Raw genomic sequence first — 23,925 nt, 5'->3', positions numbered from 1 at the left:
TATGAATCAAACTACTTTATATACATATAATGGATTTAGACAGGATAAGAACTTAATTTGGCAGCAAACTCTTCCATATAACCACTTTTTGCATAAAATGAAAATCTGCATAATGCACTGCAATTTTCGAAGAGCTTTTATATATAGTAACATCATTTAATTCTCAGAAGTGTGAGTAGGTATTGTTATCTTCCATTTGCTATTCAAGAAACATACGCTCCACCATAAGCACTATCATCTCTCATATAACATAACCAAATTTGAAATTTACAGTAGTCATAAATCTCTTCGTAATCACACATCACAAATTGTGTGATTTTCTTTCTTCTCTTTCCTATTTTATGCGCTTAATTATAAATGAGCCCCTGAAAATAGCTTTAACAGGAACTTAAAAAGAAATCCCTGGACCCTTATCAATAAATACAACCATAGAAGAATCTAAAACATCTGTCCACATGGACACAATGTAATCACTGCACCTCTGACAGGCATCCTCTTTATCTAGGGGTAAAAATTAGTAGCTCTAAGCTGCAGTAATAATAACTAGCCTTAACTCTGGTCTTCCAAGTTTAGAGCCGTTAGTCATGTATGTTTCTGCCTCGAAGGAAATATTATCTTGGTGTGTATTTCTAAGATGGGTACTAGGACTACCTCTGGCTCTGGCTGCTGAGACTTTGAACGTTTCTATTGGTTTCCTTACTTACTCACAGCGAATAAGAGCTGTGACCACAGGAGCTAAACTGCCTGTGTTCAAATCTGGGTAAGGCATTTTCTAGCTTTGACCTTGGGCAAGTTATTTAACTGCTCAATACCTCAATTTCCTCATTCATGAAATGGGGATAATAGTAACAACTACCTCATTAGGCTGTTATAATGATTAAATAAGTTAAAATACGTAAAAAACTTAGAACAGCATCTAGCACTATAAATGTGTGCTATTATTACTAACCATAAGTCCCTGCTAGCTAAAGAAATCTAACAAGGGAATTTTTTGAGGCCCTTTCTTCTGGTAACACTTTATAGTTTTATTCTAAAACAAGCCATCAATTAAAAGGAAGTAATCTTTCTTTTATTGTTAAAGTTTTATTGAGATACATGTAACAGACAATAAACTGCACATATTTAAAGTGTCCAATTTGCTGTTTTGACCTACCTATAAACCCATGAAACCATCACCACAATCAAGATAATACAATAAACATATCCATCAATCTCAAAAGTTTTCTCACACCCTTTTATCTTCTCCTTCTTGCCCTTTCCACCTCTAACTCCTACCATCACCCCAAAATAACTGAAATGCTATTACTATAAATTAGTTTGCATTTTCTAAAATTTTATATAAATAAAATCAGTGTTTTTTTTTTTTGGTATGGCTTCTTTACTCAACATAACTTTTGTAAGAACCATCCATGTTATTGTTTGTATTCATAGTTCATGCCTTTTGGTTGCTAAGTATTTCACTGTACAGGATACACCACAATTTGTCCATTTACCAGTTGATTGACATTTGTGTTGTTTTCAGTTTTTGGTTACTACAAATATAAGGTTGTATGAACATTCACGTACATGTCTTTGTGTAAATATATGTTTTAGTTTCTCTTGAGAAACTAGGAGTGAAATGCATGGTTCATATGGTGGGTGTATATTTTTAAATGGCCAAGCTCTTTTCCATAGGGGTTGGATCGTTTTACATTCCCAATCAACAAAGTATGAGAGTTCAGTTGCTCCACATCCTTGCCGACACTTGGCATGACCGCCTTTTAGATTTTAGATATTCTAATGGATGTGTGGTGGTAGCTCATTGTGGTTTTATTTTGCATTTTCCTAATGACTAACTCTGCTGAGAATCTTTTTTTCTTTTTTCAAGAAGGAGTTTTGCTCTGTCACCAGGGTGGAGTGCAGTGGCGAGATCTTGGCTCACTGCAAACTCCACCTTCTGGGTTCAAGTGATTCTCCTGCCTCAGCCTCCTGAGTAGCTGGGACTACAGGTGCACACCACCACACCCAGCTAATTTTTGTATTTTTAGTAGAGATGGGGTTTCACCATGTTGGCCAAGATGGTCTCGATCTCTTGACCTCGTGATCCACCTGCCTCAGCCTCCCAAAGTGCTGGGATTACAGGCGTGAGCCACCACGCCCAGCTAAGAATCTTTTTATGTGCTTATTTGCCATTTATATTATCTTCTCTGGGTAAAGGACTGTTCCAAATCTATTGTTCATTTTTCAACTGGATTGTTTGTTTTCTTAATATTGAGTTATGTGAGCTCCTTATATATTCTGAACAGAAGTCTTTGATAAGATAAGTGATTTGTAAATATTTTCTCCCAGTCAGTGGCTTGCCTTTTAATTCTCTTAACTGTGTTTTGAAGAACAGAAGTTCTTATTTTTGATAAGACCAATTTAAAAAATTATTATTCATAGATAGTACCTTTGGTATCATATCCCAGAAATGTTTGCCTAATCATGGTCACAAAAATTTTTTTTATATCGAAGTTATTAACAGATACTTTTTCATTATTAACTAGTTTTTCCTGATCATTGCTTGGTCACAGATTGGTAATACTGAACCCCACATAATCATGTGTTCCATAAACAATCTTTATCTTACGTATTTTTTGGTTTCATCCGTAACATGTCCTGCTGCATAATACCATGAATACTTATTCATAAATTAGTTCAAAATGGGTAATTTTGAACGAATTGCCAATACACAAATAAAAAACTACTTAATATTGAACTTTTTTAGATTAACATCTTGGTGAGTAATTAACCTATTTTTTCAGTACACAAGATTGCATGGGCCATTGGCTTACCTCAGCATTAAATTTCTTATGCAATACATTTCTTATGAAACACTTTTTACAAATTTCAATGTAATAAACACTTATCAAGCACCTACTATATGTAAATTACTGAGCTAGGTATTGCATGCAGATACAGAGATGTAAATGAAATCGCTACCTTACTTTTATATATATTATTTTTATGTTTTATTTACTTATTCATTTTTTTTGAGACAAGAGTCTCACTCTGTCACCAGCTGGAGTGCAGTGGTGTAATCTGGGCTCACTGCAACTTCTGCCTCCCGGGCACAAGCAATCTGCTGCCCACATCAGCCTCTCAAGTAGCTGGAACTACAGGAGCCGAGCTAATTTTTGTATTTTTTGTAGAGATGGCATTTTGCCACATTGCCCAGGCTGGTCTGAAACTCCTGGACTCAAGCGATCCACTGTCTCAACCTCCCAGAGTGCTGGGATTACAGGTGTGAGCCATTGCACCTGGCCATTATTTTATTCTTTAATTTAAAGATAGGGAATTAAGGCTTAAAAGAGGCTAAGTAATGTGTTCTAGGGCACAGCTTGGGTGAACTAGATTTATATTCAGACTTGAGTTAGGAAATAAAGGAGGCATGATTTGAAGCTATCTGACTCCAGAGGCTTGGCTCTTGACGGGGTACCACGCTAAGGCAACAGTGTTTCAATTCTCATTTTAAGTAAAATACAAGTGCTATTAATTTGGTACCTGGGAAAAATCTTCAGCGGCTACTGGTAAATTAACATCATTTTCTTGTGCTGTCAGAAGTGTTGTGGGAAGAACCAGCTTAGAATTTGGCTCCAACTCCAATTCTCCCAAACTCATTGGACCATGACTAGCACATGAATCTTCATAAATACTACCTGTTATCAAAAATGTAAATAAAAAGTTAAAATAAAGTGTTAAATTTATCTTCAAAAATGAACAAGTAGTTGACTAAAACCACCAATATTTCTCACCTGCTGAATTAGAACTAGCAGTGTACTTCAAACAAAAACACCTGGACCAAGCCTTCACTGCAATTAAAACCAAAACTCAGAGAGAATGCAAAAAGTACCTATGTTCAAACAAATCCATGGAATATTCTATGTAAAGTTCCAGTCAACAAGTTGCCCATGCAGTTCATCTGCAGCCTCCTTCCCACATACGAACTCTTAATACTCCTGCTTACCTTTCCTATCTCTAAGAGTCAATAGAATACTTTCTATCTAAAATGTAATCTTAAAGCAAAGGGCAATTTCCTGCCTGGAAAATGTTGGTATTGCCTAGCTCTATTCTGTAGATTTTGTTCTTCAAGTGATCAAGCTCTTATTTTCTTATCTAAATGGCACCTCTGGCTGAGTGCAGTAGCTCATGCCTGTAATCCAGCACTTTGGGAAGCTGAGGTGGGTGGATGCCTAAGGTCAGGAGTTTGAGACCAGCCTGGCCAACACGGTGAAACCTGTCTCTACTAAAAATACAAAAATTAGCTGGGTGTGGTGGCATGGCACCTGTAATCCCAGCTACTCAGGAAGCTGAGGCAGGAGAATCGCTTGAACCCAGGAGGCGGAGGTTGCACTGAGCTGAGATCGCATCACTGCACTCCAGTCTGGGTAACAAAATGAGACCTCGTCTCTAAATAAATAAATAAATAAATAAATAAATAAATGGCACCTCAGTCAAATCAGTAAAAAGAAGACAAGAGCAGAGATATCTATGTATCTAACCACTGTACCTTTGTATTGCACTATATACTCCAAGCACTTTCATATATGAGTACATTATCTTATTACATTTGAACTTTACAATCATTCTGTAAGATAGGTTAGACATCATTGTAACTGTCTCTCACTGACATTACTAAGGTTCAGAGAAGTTAACTAACTGTCCAAAATCAAAGAGCTAGCAAGAAGCACAGAGGAATTAAGTCACTGCTCTCTGTTTCACAGTCTTGCTAGACAACCTTTTAAAATATAATCAATAGAAATAGACCTGAAGAGTTATATGCAAATTAAGTTTTAAATATATATATTTAAAATTTATATACATAAATCATATATATAATTCATATATATGATATATTATATATGATATTATATATTTATATATCATATATAAATATATATGATATATAAATCATACACATGATATATATATAAATCATACATATATATAAATCATACATGATTTATATATAAATCATACATATAGATGATTTATATATATAAATCATACATATATATAAAAATCATACATACACATATATATATATACACTTTTTTTTTTTTTAAAGACAGAGTCTCACTCCTGTTGCCCAGGCTGGAGTGCAATGGCATGATCATGGCCCCCTGCATCCTTGACTTCCCAGGCTCAGGTGATTCTTCTACCTCAGCATCCTGAGTAGCTGGGACTACAGGTGTGCGCTACCACACTTGGATAATTTTTTGTATTTTTAGTAGAGACAGGGTTTCGCCATGTTGCCAAGGCTGGTCTGAAACCCCTGGGCTAAAGTGATCTTCCTGCCTCAGCCTCCCAAAGTGCTGGGATTACAGGCATGAGCCACTGCACTGCACCCAGCCTGAAAAAATATTTCAAAGACGCCATAGATATTTTCCATTTAAAGGCATTCTGTTGACAATTTCCTAGATATAGCAAATAATCACTCTGATTGATCTTTTATGTTAATCTAGGTTTTCAATGGGCTTTTACATAAAGCGAAATACATCTATTGAGTTTTAATTTTTTTTTTTTTTTTTGAGACGGAGACTCACTCACCCAGGCTGGAGTGCAGTGGTGCAATCTCAGCTCACTGCAACCTCCACCTCCCGGGTTCAAGCGATTCTTCTGCCTCAGCCTCCCTAGGAGCTGAGACCACAGGCACGCGCCACCACACCTGTCTAATTTTTGTATTTTTAGTAGAGGCAGCGTTTCACCATATTGGCCAGGCTGGTCTTGAACTCCTGACCTCAAGTGCTCAAGTGATCCGCTCACCTCGTTCTCCCAAAGTGCTGGGATTACAGGCATGAGCCACCATGTCCAGCCGCATTGAGTTTTGATTTTTACTATTATGGTATTAAATCTGTATAAAACAATTTATCAAAATTATTACCTGATTCTCATTTAATTATCTAACATAAGATTAATTTAAATAATGGTAATAATACTTATAATTTAGAGTAACTAATGTTTCAGGCTTTATTTGTCTCTTTATATTCTGATACGCCTTTTTCTATTCCTATGTGACTTGTTCAACATTTTTCTAAGAGTGGCAAATGAATTAAGAGAAAAGAATTACATATAATGTTAAAAAAAGAAGATATTGAAAACTCTTTTGCTGATATATGGTATATGCCTAGAAAACCCAAGAGACTTTAATGAAAACAAAAGAACTCTATTAGAACTAATAAGAGAATTGGTAATGTGACTGGATAACAGATAAATAGATAAAAGTGATTAGCTTTTTCCTACAGTATAGCAACATAATCAAGCCATGAAAGCACGGAAAGTATAAAAGTTAGAAATATCTACATATAAATTTTTAAATTATATGGCAAAAAGATCATCAACAATGTCAATGAGCAAAATATAAATTTGGATAAAGATATTTACAATACAAATAGTAGAAAACATCTAAACTATAGAAACAGCTTTAAAACTAACAAGAAAAACTGAGAACCTCCCAGATGGGAAAAGAACTTTATAGGAGCACATACAAATGGCCAACAAACATATGAATGAAAAGACATATAAACTCACCAGGAGTCAGAAACATATCTTCATATTTCTACTGAGGTATGTAAAAAAACTAATCAACACAATTTCAGGAGGGGATGTAAGGAAAGGGCACTAATAAATTGCCGATAAAAATAAATTGGTTTAAACTTTCAAGAAAGCAACTTGGCATTATCTATTTCTAAACTAAAGATACATTTGCTCGTGTATAGAAGAGCTTCCCAGGAGTACATACACTGGAGTAAGGAGGAGTATATAAAACACAACAATCTGGTAGGATGTGTGTGTGGATACTTACTCTAGCATTGTTTATAGTGCAGGGACATGTTAATAAACATCCATCAATAGAGAAACAACTAAATAAATTATTGGAAATCAACACTATGAAGTTTTACGTAATCATTAAAATGAATAAATTTAAGTAATACCGGTTGACCTGGAATAATCTAAGGGTTTACTGGGTAAAACACAAAATGCAGGCAAGTGTGCAAGATATGATCTTAAGTTGTAAAATAATGGCAATCACACATACCATATATATTGTACATGCATGTGTGCATATAATTATATGTGTGAGGTAAAAAACAGGAAGGTTATATGCCAGAATCTTAACATGGGTTACTTGGGATAAGGCATACATGGGACAGGAAAAAAGTGGTGGTGGGGAGCACTCAAAAAGTGCGTAATAGCTTTCACATAATACACCATCCTATAATTTAACAGATATTTACTATGTTCTGTATACTATATAACCTGCTAGGTGACAGGGATATGAGAGTACACAAGATAAAGTCCGTACCCTCACATGAGATTAATATCAGTGTGATAAGAGCAACATTAGGCAGGTGACATTAGAGAATTATAGAGAGTACACATGACAGGTATTTAACCCAGTGATAAGGGTCAGGAAAGGATTCCCTGACAGCAATCATAACAGTGCTGAATTTGCTGTGTCTTCTAACAAGCAGGCTCATTGAGTGTGGGTGTCTTACCTGTATAATGCAAGTTAGACCTTTAAAAGAGGGATATTTAAAATATTATTTCATTCAAGTCAAATTTAATTTAATTAATCATAACTAGAAATCCCTAATTTTACTTTCCTAGAATTTTGTTATAGTGGAAAGCAACCATGGCAGACTTTTAGAGAAGACTAAGTTTGCCTAAAATTGCCAGTCCAGCAAGAGTTTTTGGTCCGGCATATCTAATGGATTTTTTTCATTTGTATGAAAGTCAAAGGCATCACAAATTCAGTATGTATAAACCCCATTCAATCTCTTTCCTCCTAATTCTGTCCTTCCTCCATATTCGCTCTCTCTCAGTGACTGAGATGACCATCTATCCAATAATTCTAGACAGAAACCTAGGGATTTCTTAGACTTTCTGCTTCTTTTGTACTGCTCACATTCAAATGAATTCCTGTCCATCTCCTTAATTCTCTCTCAAATCTCCCTTTTTATATATCCTCATTACTGAATAATGTCTCATCAGGTCAACTTTAATGGTTGTCTAATCAGGCTCCTTGCCTCCAGTCTTAACTCTTCCAATCTATCCATCACATTGCATCTCAGATGATCTTGCTAAATAAAAGGTAAATATGATCACATCACTCATTTACTTACAATCTTTAACAGACTGATGAATATCACACAACATTCAGAACTGACAGAAACTTAAGGCTGAATTGTTCATGGGAATAAGTATAAAGTAAAAAGTAAGACTGTTATTATTTCCCATTTTGTATACAAAGCGATCCTTACTGTACTCCTTAATAGATAATCCAGGGCTTTTCATGACCTGGTTTCTGCTCCCTGCTGCAATTTCACTGCATCTTAAGCTCTAATTCTTTGACAAAAACACTGCATTTCCACGATTAACCCTTGCTTTTTTTTTTTTTTTGCCTTTGTCCCCTGTCTCATTGCATATTCTGTCTGAAAGGTCCCTCCTCACTCACCACATGGCAAGCATTTATTCATCTTTGAGGAGTCACTTCAAGCAAGACTTCCCTCATCTATGAAGTCTTTCCTGAATCCCTTCAACTACAATTGACCTGTACCTCCATCCTATACGGGCTTCTTCACAATAACTACAGTAATTTATTGCATGTTTTTGCTTTCTTATCTACTATGTCTACTAGAGAAAAAAAATCATTGTGAACAGGGCCTTACCAAGTTTCATATTCCTAGCACCTAGCACATGCTCAGCACATAGCAGGCACTCAAAAATATCTTCTGAATAAGTAAATGAACAAACTGGAATATTCTTATCATAATTTACCATCTGGCTAATTCCCTTAAGATTCAATTTCACATTGGATCTTGCAGAAAACCTTTTCTAAGCCCTCACAAATGAGTTAAGTTCCTCCTCTGCACTCCCACAGCCGTCTGTGTTGTACTAGTCACACAATATTATAATTGTTATTTATTTCTCCCACACTAGTTAGTAAATATCTTGAGAGCAGATATCTATCATCTTTGAATCTTGAGTGCTTAATGTAGTACTTACATAGTTCTAGGTATACAGTGGGTATTCAATACAGGTTTTTTGAGTAAATAAAAAGCTGTAGTTGGTAGTATATCCCAGGGTCCACAAATAATTCACTCAAATTACAGCTTACATTTTAGGTTTCCCAAGACAACTCCTCAAAGCCAATTTTGCAACTTTCAGTTACTCAACCCAACCTGAGAGCCTCAGGAATGGAGACAGTGATAGAGGACTACAGAAAATAGGACACTTCCTGAAAATTAGCAGGGGTGGGGAGGGGCAAAGTAAGAAGAGATGACCCTCTGTAAGCAAAGTTATTAAAAATCAAGACGAAAAGCAATACCAATCACTAGCATATATAGTTGATTCTCATCTATGGACCACAGTTATAGTCTGTGGTCACCAGGAGAAAATCTTGAAACAAGAGGAACAAATTAGTTTTCTATAGGCAAAGTCCTTTTAGTCAACTGTTGATAGTTTCTGATTCTATTAAGTACATATAAGATAGTACTTTTCATACTCCAAGCATTATTAAAGAGAACAACACCATGTGCCAAGCACTGAGCTTAGTACTTTACATGCATTGTCAAATACATGTACCTAATAACCATAATGAGATAGACACTATTACCTCCAAGATAGCCCCCAGTGATCCCTGCCCTCCTGGTATCTACACCTTTTAAAAGTCACCTCTTAAGTTGTTCCATGATTGGTCTGTGTTATCAATGGAATATGACAGAAGTGATGGCATGTCACTTTGGAGATTAGGTTATAAAAGACATTATCAGCTGGGCGCAGTGGCTCACACGTGTAATCCCAGCACTTTGGGAGGCTGTGGCGGGTGGATCACTTGAGGTCAGAAGTTTGAGACCTGCCTGGCCAACATGGCAAAACCCCGTCTCTACAAAAACATACAAAAATCAGCCAGGCGAGGTGGCGGCGTGCATCTGTAGTCCCAGCTACTCAGGAGGCTGAGGTAGGAGAATCACTTGAACCCAGGAGGCAGAGGTTGCAGTGAGCTGAGATCGCACCACTGCACTCCAGCCTGGGCAACAGAGCGAGACTCTGTCTCAAAAGAAAAGAAAAAAAAAAAGACATTATGGTTTCCATCTTGATTGCTTACTTTCTCTTGGGAGATGTCTGCTACCACATCATTCACGGCCCTATGGACTGGTTAACATGGTGAGGAAGTGAAGCCTCTTGCTAAATCCATGTGAGTGAACTTGGAAAGTGGATCCTTCAACCCTAGTCAAGCCTTCAGATGACCTCAGTCCAAGCCATCACCTTGACTGCCACATCAGGAGAGATCCTGAAAACCACCCAGGTAAGCCACTACCGGATTTGTGACTTTCAGAGTTCTGTGAAATAATAAATGTTTGCTGCCTTCAGCTGTTAAATGTGGGGTAATTTCGTACATAGCAATATTATCCCCACTTGACACATAAAGAAATTTGGGTTCAGGAACATTAAGTTATTTGACCAAAGATACATAGAGCTGGAATTCAAACCCATTTCTGAAACTCTCAAAGCCTAAACTCTTAGCTATTCTGCTATACTGCCTTACATATGTGTTCAATCTTATGTTATACCATATTACTTATTTTTTCCAATTAAATACCTACAATGTACCTAAGATTAAAAATGCACTGTACTATAGGTAATCTGCTAGGGTTACCAGATATTTAAAAAGGACTGAAGAGGCTATCTCCTCAGGGAGTTTATTCTGTAACATTTCAACTAAGTACCTAGTTGCTCTCAGATACCTAGTAGCTCTTAAGTACCTAGCAGTTCAAGTGATCTGCGAGAGCCACCTAGTGTTAACTCTGTTTAACTGCATTCTGCAAATTTAGCTGGACATAAATGTAAGTCACATTTCATGCCATTTGAATCCTACAAATTTTAAAGAATGTAAAACATTTAATACTCTCATTATGTGTACAAAATGAGAAATAAGGCCAATCTTTACATTTATTCACATGGGAAATTCAGTCTCGGAATTCTCCCAATTCTGAATGATACAAGGTGTTCACTCAATATGAAACTAAATACTTCAGGCTTTTCCTTTTCTGATTTCTGGCAAATCTGCATGCCTCCAGAAGTTTCTTTTCACTTAAGAGAAAGAAACAATGGGCATTTAAAAATCAATAATAAGAATATAGCAGATCCTCATTTATTTGTAAATTACATATTTGCAAATTTATCTACTCGCTAAAACGTATTTATAACCCCCCAAATCAATACTTGCAGCACCTTTGTGGTCATTTGTGGACATGTACAGAGTGGTGAAAAACTTAAATTACCTAACATGCATTTTTCCAGTTGATGCTGAACAACGATACATTCCACCTTATTCCAGCTCTCATACTGTAAACAAGTGACCTTTTCACAGTATACGTAAAGCTGTTTTTCAGATTTCATCCCCTTTTTTTTGGTGATTTCACTGTTTAAAATGGCCCCTTAGTGCTGAAGTACTGTCTAGTGTTTCTTTTCTTTTTTTTTTTTTTGAGGCAGAGACTCGCTCTTGCTGCCCAGGCTGGAGTGCAGTGGCGTGATTTCGGCTCACTGCAACCTCTGCCCTCTGCCCTCTGAGCCTCCCGGGTTCAAGCAATTCTTCTGCCTCAGCTTCCCAAGTAGCTGAGATTACAGGCATCTGCCACTATGCCCGGCTAATTTTTGCATTTTTAGTAGAGATGAGGTTTCACCATGTTGGCCAGGCTGGTCTTAAACTCCTGACCTCAGGTGATCTGCCACCTTGGCCTCCCAAAGTGCTGGATTACAGGCGTGAGCCACTGCATCTGGCCTGTCTAGTGTTTCTAAGCACAAAAAGGCTCCGCTGTGTCTTATGGAGAAAATATACATGTTAGATAGGCTTCCTTCAGGCACAAGTTATACTGCTGGATAGTTCAATGGCTGTGAGTTCAATATTAATGAATCCAAAATATATATTAAATAAGACTTCTTTAAACAGAAACATAAATAAAACCAGATTATGTATTGATCAGTTGATAAAAATGTTATGACCAGAGGCTCACAGAAACCTAATCCTGTATTTCCCCTAGGAGTAATGGTTCAATACTTGTTAATATGTTTGTGGTGACCACAGAATATAACAATGGTCCATAGATGAGAGTCAACTATATATGCTAGTGATTGGTATTCTCTATTCTATCCTTATTTCCAGTGTGTCACAACAGAAAGTTTATTTAAATTCTAAAATAGTCCTGAATGCAGAGTGCTACTGAAATTCATATAGCATAAAGAATAAATGTCTACAGTATTATCTAATTTAACCTTGTCCTAAAGATCTGTTATGTCAATTTTCATGGATTCGTTATATTTTTCTAGTACATATTACAATAAATGCATCGGCTGGGCATGGTGGCTCATGCCTGTAATCCCAGCACTTTGGGAGGCCAAGGTGGGCAGATCACCTGAGGTCAGGAGTTCGAGACCAGCCTGGCCAACATAGTGAAACCCTGTCTCTAATAAAAATACAAAAATTAGCTGGGCATGGTGGCAGGCGCCTGTAATCCCAGCTACTCGGGAGGCTGAGGCAGGAGAATAGCTTGAACCCAGGAGGCAGGGGTTGCAGTGAGCCGAGATTGTGCCATTGCATTCCACCCTGGGCGACAAAGCAAGACTCCGTCTCCAAAAAAATAAAATAAAATAAAATAGGCTAGGCGCGGTGGCTCACACCTGTAATTCCAGCACTTTGGGAGGCCATGGAGGGCGGATCACGAGGTCAGGAGATCGAGACCATCCTGACTAACATGGTGAAACCCCATCTCTACTAAAAATACAAAAAATTAGCCAGGCGTGGTGGTGGGCTCCTGTAGTCCCAGCTGCTCGGGAGGCTGAGGCAGGAGAATGGGGTGAACTCGGGAGGCAGAGCTTGCAGTGGGCCGAGATTGTGTCACTGCACTCCAGCCTGAGTGACAGAGCAAGACTCCGTCTCTAAATAAATAAATAGAATGAAATAAAATAAAAGTATCACAGTTAAAAAGTTTTAAGTGTATGTATGTGTATTACCAAAATTAATTCACATACCACCCAAAGGTTCATGTACCAACACTGATATATGAATCACATTTGGGGAAACACTGCTATATATACTATAAAAAAAGTTATCACCAAACTTTCCAATTATTAAAATCCCTTTTAATAAAGAAATTTTGCAAGCCCCTATCTGAAAATAGGTATACTTTCCTCAACTCAGATTAGGGATACTACTATGACACATCAAGAAAAAATATTTTGGTGTCTACCTGAAACTGTGTCAAATTGCCGAGATAATGGTTTAGGATCACATTGTTGATCCAAAGACTGTGTATTAGTGACAGGTGGCTGCATATAGAGAGAATGTCCCATTAAGATGTTCTCTGCTGCCGCTGTTAGCTGGGGTCTTTGTCCTTCACTAAGTTCACCCACACTGTTTTCCAAGTCCTTTAAAAAGCAGAAACAATTGTTAAAACCATTATATTAAAATCAAGTCAAAACAGGAAATCTTTGCCAAATATCATGAACAATACCCTTTGACTCCTTGGAAGGTATTTTACAAACTGCCTTCTATGCCACATATACATTACATGCAAGAAAAGTTCAAGAAGTTAGTCTAATAAGCCTCGTGATAGGCTTTGTTTTCAATATAATAATTTCATATATTTTATGAAATTAACCAGTTTTTCAAGCACCAATTAAATAGCAATAAAATACATAAGAAAAATTATATTACAATTTAAAACACTCAATGGGGCCAGCACGGTGGCTCATGCCTATAATCCTAGCACTTTAGGAGGCCGAGGCAGGTGGATCACTTGAACTCAGGAGTTCAAGACCAGCCTAGGCAACATGGCGAAACCCTGTCTCGACAAAAAATACAAAAATTAGCTGGGCATCACAGCACACACCTGTAGTCCCATTTACTTAAGGGGCTGAGGCAGGAGGCTAGCTTGAACCCAGGAGGCAGAGGCTGCAGTGAGCGAGACTGCACGACTGTACTCCAGCATGGGTGATACAGTGAGACCCTGTGTCAAAAAAAACACAAAAAATCAGCTGGGCACGGTGGCTCATGCCTGTAATACCAGCACTTTGGGAGGCCGAGGCGGCGGATCACAAGGTCAGGAGATCAAGACCATCCAGGCCAACATGGTGAAACCCCGTCTGTACTAAAAATACAAAAAATTAGCTGGGCATGGTGGCAGGCACCTGTAGTCCCAGCTACTCGGGAGGCTGAGGCAGGAGAATGGTGTGAACCCGGGAGGTGGAGCTTGCAGTGAGCTGAGATTGCACCACTGCACTCCAGCCTGGGTGACAGAGCGAGACTCTGTCTCAAAAAAAAAAAAAAAAAAAAAAAAATCAAAACCACTAAATGCTGGTATGCATTACACATTGTTCATACAGCTTAAAATGGGAATAACAGAAAATTTCTCTCATTCTTCATGAATAAAAATTGCCTAAAGTTTGTTAGTGTAAACTTTACAATAAACAATTGATGAGGAGAATAATATACTTTAAACAGCATAAAGGTTACCCCATATATCAATAATAAGATTTTTATAAAAGTATAGAGGCCTGGCGTGGTGGCTCACACCACCCAGCACTTTGGGAGGTCAAGGCGGGCAGATCGCAAGGTCAGGAGTTTGAGACCAGCCTGGCCAATATGGTGAAACCCCGTCTCTACTAAAAAAAAAGTACAAAAATTAGCCAGGCGTGGTGGCGGGTGCCTGTAGTCCCAGCTACCTGGGAGGCTGAGGCAGGAAAATCACTTGAAACCAGGAGGCAGAGGCTGCAGTGAGCCGAGACTGAGCCACTGAACTCCAGCCTGGGCGACAGAGTGATACTCTGTCTCAAAAAAAAAAAAAAGTATACAGATTATAGAAGAATACTTTAGTCATATTTAATAATGTTATTTTCCTTGGGAAAAATAAAAAATACAAAAAGCACAAAAATCGTTGGCTGGGCATGGTGGGTCACGCCTGTAATCTCAGCACTTTGGGAGGCCGAGGTGGGTGGATCACCTGAAGTCAGGAGTTCCAGACAATCCTGATCAACATGGCAAAAACCCATCTCTACTAAAAATACAAAATTAGCGGGCATGGTAGTGCATGCCTGTAACCCCAGCTACTCGAGAGGCTGAAGCAGAAGAATCACTTGAACCCAGGAGGTGGAGGTTGTGGTGAGCCGAGATCCCGCCACTGCATTCCTGCCTGGGCAACAAAAGCGAAACTCCGTCTCAAAAAAAAAAAAAAAATTGTTTTAAATGAAATCTATGAAATAAATGAACAAATGAAAAAATATAAGACTCCTATTTTCTTTCTGTATTAAAAAATTATATATCCTAATCACTAGTACATTTTATGACTTGAGATATTCTAATTAATGAATTTACTAATTAAGAACTGAAGCAAAATTCCAATTATCTGAAAGCTCCCATGTTTCTCATTTAAAAGGGGTTTAATTTCAACCAACAAGTGTTTTTTTTAACTAGACTATATGAAGAAATCACTGCTGAAACACCTTTGATGATTCCATTGACTATAAAATAAAATCTAAACTTCTTAGCTCAACATTCAAGATTCTCTTCAATTTGCCTTCATTCTCCTATGTACATCTCTATCTCTCCTTATTCCCTTAGCCTGACTCTTCTTTAGGAATACTGATTGCCTCAACATCCTTTAAATTAAAAAATACTGTTCATAATTAATATGAAATCCCTTGGAGACTCTTGGGCAGTGTTTAGAATGATGGCAATTATGTTTTCCCCAGAAATTAATGAGAAATATTTCACAATGCCTATATTACTCTGACAGTCTACAGTAACTTCTCTGTTGTGAATCTGTTTTCTAGGATATTTGCAACTGCTGAACTATTTAACACCTTAAGAATACTCTATGACCCTACTGAAGACTTATCTTGCCTATTTACAAAATGGTCTCATACTCATAAGTATCTCTGAGTTTTGGATTATACTCAATGCTTAAGTTCATGCCAATTTAAGTCAGGTTGCCTATAATGCAGAGTAATATACCTAGCCCATCTACATATATGTACAAATTACAGTTTTGCCATCAGTGAGCTTTCACTGACCAAATGCCCCTCTAAGCAAGAAGTTTCAAGCACAAAGAAAAGCCACAACTTAGCAAAGCAATATTTTAACTTATAATGTATCAATATTACTAGTTCTTATTACATAGCCCTTTAGACAAGAAAATATGCAAAATGTCACTGTTAATCAGACTGGCAAAAATTTAAGATTAAAAGCATTATGTGTGACATGGGAAAGGGATCTCATACAGCTAGGGGCAATTTTTCAGTGCCTATTTAAATTATGAATGCTTATATCTTTGAGCCAGCAATTCCATGCCTTAGTATCTAAATCTAGAAAAATAATTTCTCATGAGTACAAAAAAAGGATTTTATACCTAGTATAGTTTGATTAGAGAATACTTGGAACCAATCTAAAAATCCTTCAATAGGAGAATAATTAAACTATGGTATACTACATAGTAGGTAAAAAGAATATAGTAGATCTTCAGGATTTATGTTAAATTTTAAAAAGCCTTGCAACCTGCTTTTTAAAATTTAAAATTGCACAACAATATATACACACACCTCAAAATTATATACTAAGCCAGAAATGGTGGCTCATGCCTATAATCCCAGGACTTTGGAAGGCTGAGGCAGGAGGATCACTTGCGGTCAGAAGTTGGAGATCAGCCTAGCCAACATAGTGAGACCCCGTCTCTGCAAAAAATAAAAAATTAGCTAGGTATGGTACACGCCTATAGTCCCAGCTACTCTGGGGGCTGAGATGGGAGGATTGCTTGAGTCCAAGAGTTCGAGGCTGCAGTGAGCTGACTGAGCCACTGCACTCCAGCCTGAACAACAGACTGAAACTCTGTCTCAAAAAGATTCACACACATATATATATATACACACACACACACACATACACACATATACATATACACAAATATATTTTTATACATATATAAATGCTTAATGCTTAGAAAAAGATCTGGAGAAGATAGAATTCTAACTTCTGCATTGCTGGTCTAGCCAGGACAGCACAGTAACAAAGGCTGCCAGCTCTCAAAATCAACACTGGAGTAACTACAGAGGTGAAAAAGAACCCATAGATTCTGAGAACTAAAGTAAAAGTTGTGAAAAGCCCCTGGAAAGACAGACAGTTAACTCAAACTGGAACGCGTGGAAAGAAAGGGGCTGCATCCTAGCGAGGAGGCTGTGTGGAGGGGCTTTGTGAGAGGAATGAATGGAGAAAAGTCATTGTTTCTTCCTCCATTAATTTGAGATTACTGCTTGCCCCTCAACCATAAAAGTCTTCTTATTAACAACCCCAGCTGCAAATGCTGGCGCCCCAGAGTAATATCAGGGAACATGAAGGCCTAGCTATGGTGACAACTATAGATGAAATCTGTCCAGAAGCCCATCCGTGGGCATCATTCCTTCACCTTCTTCCCCTCCAAGCCCCAGGACTAGTGGATTACAAACCCTCCCAAAGCAACGTCTTCCTAAGGGCTTAAAGACACAATAATCACCAGGAGAGCCATATAGTGGAGTAACAGCAAACAGCAGGGACAGTGACCAAGGGTGGTTCTGTGCTGCCTAAGGCTCTCCTCCCTAGGGCTCTCTCCTCCCCTCTTCTTTAACTCTCTGAAACAGACCATGGTTTTATCCTTACCCAAATTCTCAGACAGAATAGTTGATCCCATCAGTGAAATAAGAACTCACAGGTCAAAAGAACCAGATACCTGAGGAGTCAATAAGTTTAAAAAAGAAAAAAAAAACAGACAACAAAGTGAATGATATTAATCAGACAGACAGACACAGAGTAGGCGATAAGAAAAGATATTAAAATGCAAAGCAAAAAAAAAAACAACAAAAAACAAGAATGTCAAGTATGAAAAACACAATAAACGGGATAAACAGTATAGCAGAGAACAAATTAATAGTTAGCAGATCAGATTGGGGAGTTCTCCCAGAATGGAGAAGAAAAGAAAGACAGAAAATTTAAGGGATAAGAAAAACAGAAGTAGAAGTGTCAATATCTGGAAATAAGAGTTCTAGAGAGAGGGGGGAAAAATGAAAGGAAGAAAAAAAAAAGAGAAAGAAAGAATGAAGATAAATTTCCCAGCATCTAAAAGATAAAAACGTCTGATACAATTGCACGAATAAATACACTGATATTAGTGATTTCCAAAAAGAAAGAAAACTAGGATTAGTCAGTGGAATTTATAAATTTATGCAGACACTTCTGCTATTTGCCACCTCTTTTTGTACCATTTGCTTGTCTCATTCTCTCTCCCTTCTTCCCTCTCCCTCTTTCTCTCTCCTTTCCACCCGCACATGCGCTTTCTCTCTCTCCTCTCCCTCCTTTCTCTCTCTCAGCTTAATGGTTTCGATACTAATCATCTTAATTTCTGCAGCTATGAGAGTATGTTTTTGAATTTAGCAACACAGATATCACAACTAAGATTTTTCCAGTGAAATGATCTATTGCTAACTAAAGTTGCAGAAAATTTAATTATTTTAAATTCAGAAGGAATATGTTAAGCCTTCATTTTTTCCCATTACTAAATTTTATATCTTCTCCTACCTTTCCTAATCATTTAAAGTTTTAAAAATAAAAACAGAAAATAAAACCAACCATCTCCTTGGGCCCTATATAGTCTTCAGATCTCCAGCTCATCTAAAGCCAGTTGACATTTGTTCATGCGAAGACAACCAGATATGATAGAAACAGCACTATAGATCAAGAATCCTAGTCCCAGCTCCATCATTAACCAGTCTGAATGACAATGTTGTATATTTCTACCTGGAATTTCCTTAAGCACCTTAAATATAATGTGTATATCAAACTCATTAGTTTCCCCACAAAATCTGGCACTCTTCTGTCTGCACTTCTAAGCCAACAACTCTATAATCACCCATCCAAGCTCCTAAGGTAGGAACCTCAAGATTATCCTTAAAAAAAAGCTTCTTTACCTCTCTCAACCAATGACCAATTACTGTCAATCCTATGCCCTTAAATTTAAATCTCTCTCCTCTCTATTTCTGCTGTAACTGTCTTTGTTCTCATTCTCTCTTGCTGGGACTACTCCAGTGGTGTTCTGACAGATCCCCCATGTCTCCCTCATTTGTTTATGGCTTCATACTCCTTCCTAAGGCAACTCCCTTGTCCAAAAACCTTCATGGGCTCCACAGTGCCCAAGCCTTACCATGGCCTAAATAAAATGTTCTTTATGATCATCTGGTTCAATCTCCTTCTCCAGATGTATCTGATTCTTCATCTAAAGTTCTAGCCACACAGAGATTTTCAATACTTTCCAAATATGCTTTAATATTTCTTGGCTGTCATCCCTTAACAAATGGTATTTCTGCTTCTGAAATGTCCTTCCCTTTCGTTGCTGCCTGCAAAGTCCTACTCCATCTTTAAAGACTGACATCAATGTAATATTGTGTATGAAGTGTCATCTAACTTCAGGCAGAGTCTTTTCTCCTGTGTGTTCATATAGTACTTGTAAATACAGCTATTTGATTAGTTATTGCACTGTTGAATAATTACTTGTGTAAGCCCTTATCTTCCTACATGACTGTAAGCTGCTTAAAGGTAGGGGTCATGTCTTACTTATCTTTGTATCTTTTCCAAGGTTGTGTCTGGCATATAATGGATACTTAATAAATAATTGCATAATGAATCCTCACAAAGCTTCAGCTTTTTTAGCAGTAGAACAAGGTGGTTGGAACAGATGGTCTAAATTCCTTTCTGTTATAAAACTCTACAGTTCCATGATTCCAAGTTAAAGTTGCTGTAACACTGACCCTTGAAAAAACCAAAATACTAGCATGCTTTAACTAGTAGTAAGAATATTTTAATTTTTTCCTGTATTTAGATCTAACCAAAAAAAAGTCATTAAAGTTAAAAAGTACCTCTGAATGATAGACTGCTTGCTGGGAAACTGCTGACTCCTGGTTTTGTTTAGCAAAAGAAAGAATTGCATCTGCATGAAATTTTTTATGGGACATCCTAATCACTTGCCCTTCACTAGGAGGATCATCCTCCTAAAAGAAACATAAAGACAATTAATAAAAATAAATTATTTCGAACAATTGCATTTTTCTCAATTTAAGATTAATAAAAACTTATCAGTCATGAGATGATGATATTAGCATTTTTGGAAAGGAGATGAACTCTTTATTTTCATCTAGTTCTCATTTCCATTTGTCTATAATAAAAGCCCTCTATCTTTGCCTCAAATATAAACCACAGTATAATTTGGTACAACATAAACTGGAGATTATAAAAACATAAAAATCAAACAGTCTGTCCCACACAGTTGAGCTACTATGAATCATAAATGTTTTATATGATATCATTGTTTTTGGGTCACAGCCTCCTCCTCATATTTCTGCAGTAAAGTAATGCCACAGTGTGGCAATGGGGGCAAAGCACTGTAATGCTGCAACTTGGACCACAAGCAAAAATGAAAAACTGCAGAAGTATGGTATGGCAGCTATAGACCTCAATGTCCCTTTGCCTTTGGGCTGACATCTGGCTTACTTGGCGAGGGCATTGGTATTGAAGACCCTCACTGGAGCACCCTGTATAGGCTTCCTCATGCCTCAAAATAGGCCCATCCCAACAATGAGGAACAGTGTGGGCCTCAGAGTCCAACAAAGTAGATTATCTTGTAAATACAGATATTAACATGACTTTAAATTCATTGAAAGTATTTGTATTTATTTTTCATGAAATAAAGTTTATTAACTCCAGATTATAAGTCCCTATCCCCTAGCTATGTATAGATAAAATGCCCACTGGTACATGATTTCAAGTTATTTGGGGTTTTTCCAGATTGTACTATTGTATTTGACTTTATTATGAATTTGTAGCATATGTGATTTAGGCATAGTAAAAATATCAACATTAGAATTTAGTTTCAAATGTAGAAAAAGAGAAACAAGTTATAATTTAGTCTTGGTTTGGTTTAGCTATTTACTTTAAATAAATTTAAACATGCTTTGCCACTTGAAAAAGTTCAAAGAGAGGAGAAAAATGCTATAATTGTACACTAATAGGCCGAATGTTAGTAATGCTTCTCTGAAAATAAAGATATCTCATTTATGCCTTCTTCCCATATTATTTCATAAAAGTGATTGCTATGCTCTCTTCACAATTAGCTCAACCAATTACTTGCAATAAATAATTACTGTTTAAAAATTGTTTCATTAAAATCTTATCAAAAAACTTCTTAATGAAGTATTTTCATAGGCCTATGTGAAATAACTTAAAAAAACAGCAACAATGCTTTAAAAAGATGTGAATAAACATAGATGATAGTTGAGTACAATTACCTTTCCTTGCTTAGGTTGTTTAAAAATATATAAAAAGTAAAGATTTCTATTCCTTAACGGTTTTTTCAAAAGAAAATTCTTACTATCACTTCTATATATTTATATATAATGTGATATTTTTAAATACCAACTTTTGCTTCTACAGAGCTAGATAAAAACTAGAAAGGGTTAACATCCCTGGACCTCATTTTTCTTTTTAAGCCATTAAGTTTAAATATTTATTAGCACAAAGAATTATAATCATGGTTAGGGAAAAATAACAAATGTATTACAAGAGAGTTGGTTTAAACAGGTAAGATCCTGCTTAAATATTGTAAAGACAACATACAGAGGTAACAATTTGCAATCAGCTAGATTTCATTACCTAATTACATTAAATGTATATTTTTTTACTACTAGAGCCACGAGGGTTAATAATAACTTTTTTTCATTCTCATAATTATAAGATTACATAATGAAATGTGCAAGAAACTCTAAATTATTTCATGGTTATTTTACTAAATTTTGTGTCTATAACTCAAAAAATTGAGAAAAAACCTGATCAGTGGCAACCAATTCATACAGATATTCTTCCTGTCAGAATTCAGTGTTGGAGTCAATCGTTACTTACCATTTCAACGGCATCATGCAGAGTGCTGGATAAGCTATCATTAAGGTTTGTCAGGTACAGTCCTATATCTTCTAAAACTAGAAATTAAAATATAAAAGTTTAGAAAAAAAAAAGAAACACAAACTTAGTAAATAATCTGACCATAAAGCCATAGCATATTAGATTCAAAATTATACTGCAATGGAAATACTGGCAAAGTTTATAAACAAGTAATTCACAAACTACTCAATCTTACCAGTTTTTTTGAAGTACAATTTATAACAAAGATGAGAATTTTGTTTAACCTACCAGTTTGTTAGAAATTAAAAACTATAAATATCAATTGTAGTTATGAAATTGAGAAACGGGTATTCTCATATACTGTTGATATAATTAAAACTGATTAAGAGCTAAAAATCCTTTCTAGAACTTAGAGCAAAGAAAAAAAAAATCCTTTCTAGAAAGCATGTTGGTGATGCATCTTTAAAGTAGACTCAGCAATTTCGCTTTTAGGCATGTATTCTAAGGAAGAGACCAGATAAGTGCACAAAGACATATATACATGAAAGGATGGTAATTAGAGAGTTGTGTATAGACTGAAAGCATTGAAAACAATCTAAATGCCCTCTATTAAGGGATTAAACAGACTACACAGCCAGAAAAGAAAAATAAGAAAAATATGGAGTTATATTAAAAGATATCCACAATATATTATTTGGTAAAAAAAAAAATTCAGGTTTCAGGCTGGGTGAGGTGGTTCAGGCCTATAATCCCAGCCCTTTGGGAGGCCAAGACGGGTGGATCACTTGAGCTCAGAAGTCTGAGACCAACCTGGGCAAAATGGTGAAACTTCATCTCTACAAAAAATATAAAAGTTAGCCGGGCGTGGTGGCACATGCCTGTAGTCCCAGTTACTCAGAAGGCTGAGGTGGGAGTATCACTTGAGCCCAGGAAGTTGAGGCTGCAGTGAACCATGATCATGCCACCTCACTCTAGCTTGCATGACAGTGAGAACCTGTCTCAAAAAAAAAAAAAAAATTCAGGTTTCAAAACAATATGCATAGTAAGATCCTATTTTTAAAGGTAAACATACATCCACATACGTATGTATTTATGTGTCTATATATGCATAGACAAAAAAGACTGGAAAGGCCTACCCCAAACCATTAATAGTGATATTATTTCTGGAGGGTGGGATTATGAGGAAGATTTTACTTTCTGAAGTTAAGACCCAGAAAAGTTAACTAAATTGCATTGAGTCCCCTATTCTTTCTACTATACCATGTTAAATCTTGAAAGTTAAGTAAAAACACTTTAAATAGAAAAGTATTACTTAGGGAATTAGCATAATCTAACAAGTAAAATCAACTAATACAAATTAACTTACTCTTGGGGGCCAATTTTTGACCACAGCTAAATAAAATCTCTCCTTCAGAGATGGGTTTATCTAAAGTTTCAGTTTCAGTGACAGTAACACTCAATGTGCTCTCCAGTGTTGATGAATCAGAACCTGGCATCTGTGAGGGGGAAGGGGCCTTGGTGCCGGCAGGAAATGGCATAAAGGGAACTGGCTCTGGAGGTGGAGGCTGAGCAGGGAAATCCATACTCTCTGGTTCTTCATCCTTAGCCACAGACATTACACTAAGAAAATAAAGACATATTTGGAGCTTGTTAGGTCACTGAAGGCCTGTATTCATTTTGATATAAAAAACAGACTCGAAGACTATGTCTCCTTTAGCAAAATATTTTTTTAAATCTGCACTACTATAATTAACAAGATTTTTAAAAGTTGTTTTCATGCTTTAATCATAGGCCATCTTGAAAGCTCTTCCATACAGAGAGATATAAAATAATATAAAAGTTAACTGATCATAGTAAATAATGATCCACAATAGGGAGAAATTGTTTTCTATTTTATTAACAATATAATAGATACCTTTATTTCTAGCTATTTC

General features: G+C 36.6%; 1 protein-coding gene across 34 annotated transcripts in view, besides 1 other annotated feature; it reads right to left on the bottom strand.

Annotated features, from left to right (window-relative positions):
- Positions 1-23,925, bottom strand: part of KIAA0586 — a 134,691-nt gene that overhangs the window by 49,859 nt on the left and 60,907 nt on the right. For 27 of the 34 annotated variants that reach the window (NM_001244189.2, NM_001244190.2, NM_001244192.2 and 24 more), the window contains 5 exons: positions 23,358-23,611; positions 21,992-22,068; positions 19,957-20,088; positions 13,272-13,449; positions 3,523-3,677 (listed from right to left, as the gene is read on the bottom strand). In NM_001244189.2, the coding sequence (NP_001231118.1) occupies positions 3,523-3,677; positions 13,272-13,449; positions 19,957-20,088; positions 21,992-22,068; positions 23,358-23,611 (796 nt within the window). The remainder of the gene's footprint in view (positions 1-3,522; positions 3,678-13,271; positions 13,450-19,956; positions 20,089-21,991; positions 22,069-23,357; positions 23,612-23,925) is intronic. The other 7 variants (XM_047432003.1, XM_047432006.1, XM_047432001.1 and 4 more) reach the window with 1 other exon arrangement.
- Positions 10,687-10,981: a silencer, noted in NCBI's record as "tiled region #13498; HepG2 Repressive non-DNase unmatched - State 12:CtcfO". NCBI's record gives its function as "represses a minimal TATA promoter and a strong SV40 promoter by Sharpr-MPRA in HepG2 cells {active_cell/tissue: HepG2}" and the evidence as "EXISTENCE:reporter gene assay evidence [ECO:0000049][PMID:27701403]".

Source organism: Homo sapiens, chromosome 14 (genome assembly GCF_000001405.40).
Source record: "Homo sapiens chromosome 14, GRCh38.p14 Primary Assembly".
Taxonomy (NCBI): domain Eukaryota; kingdom Metazoa; phylum Chordata; class Mammalia; order Primates; family Hominidae; genus Homo; species Homo sapiens.
The sequence above is the reverse complement of the archived record's forward strand: the minus strand, read 5'-3'. Positions and strand labels throughout refer to the sequence as shown.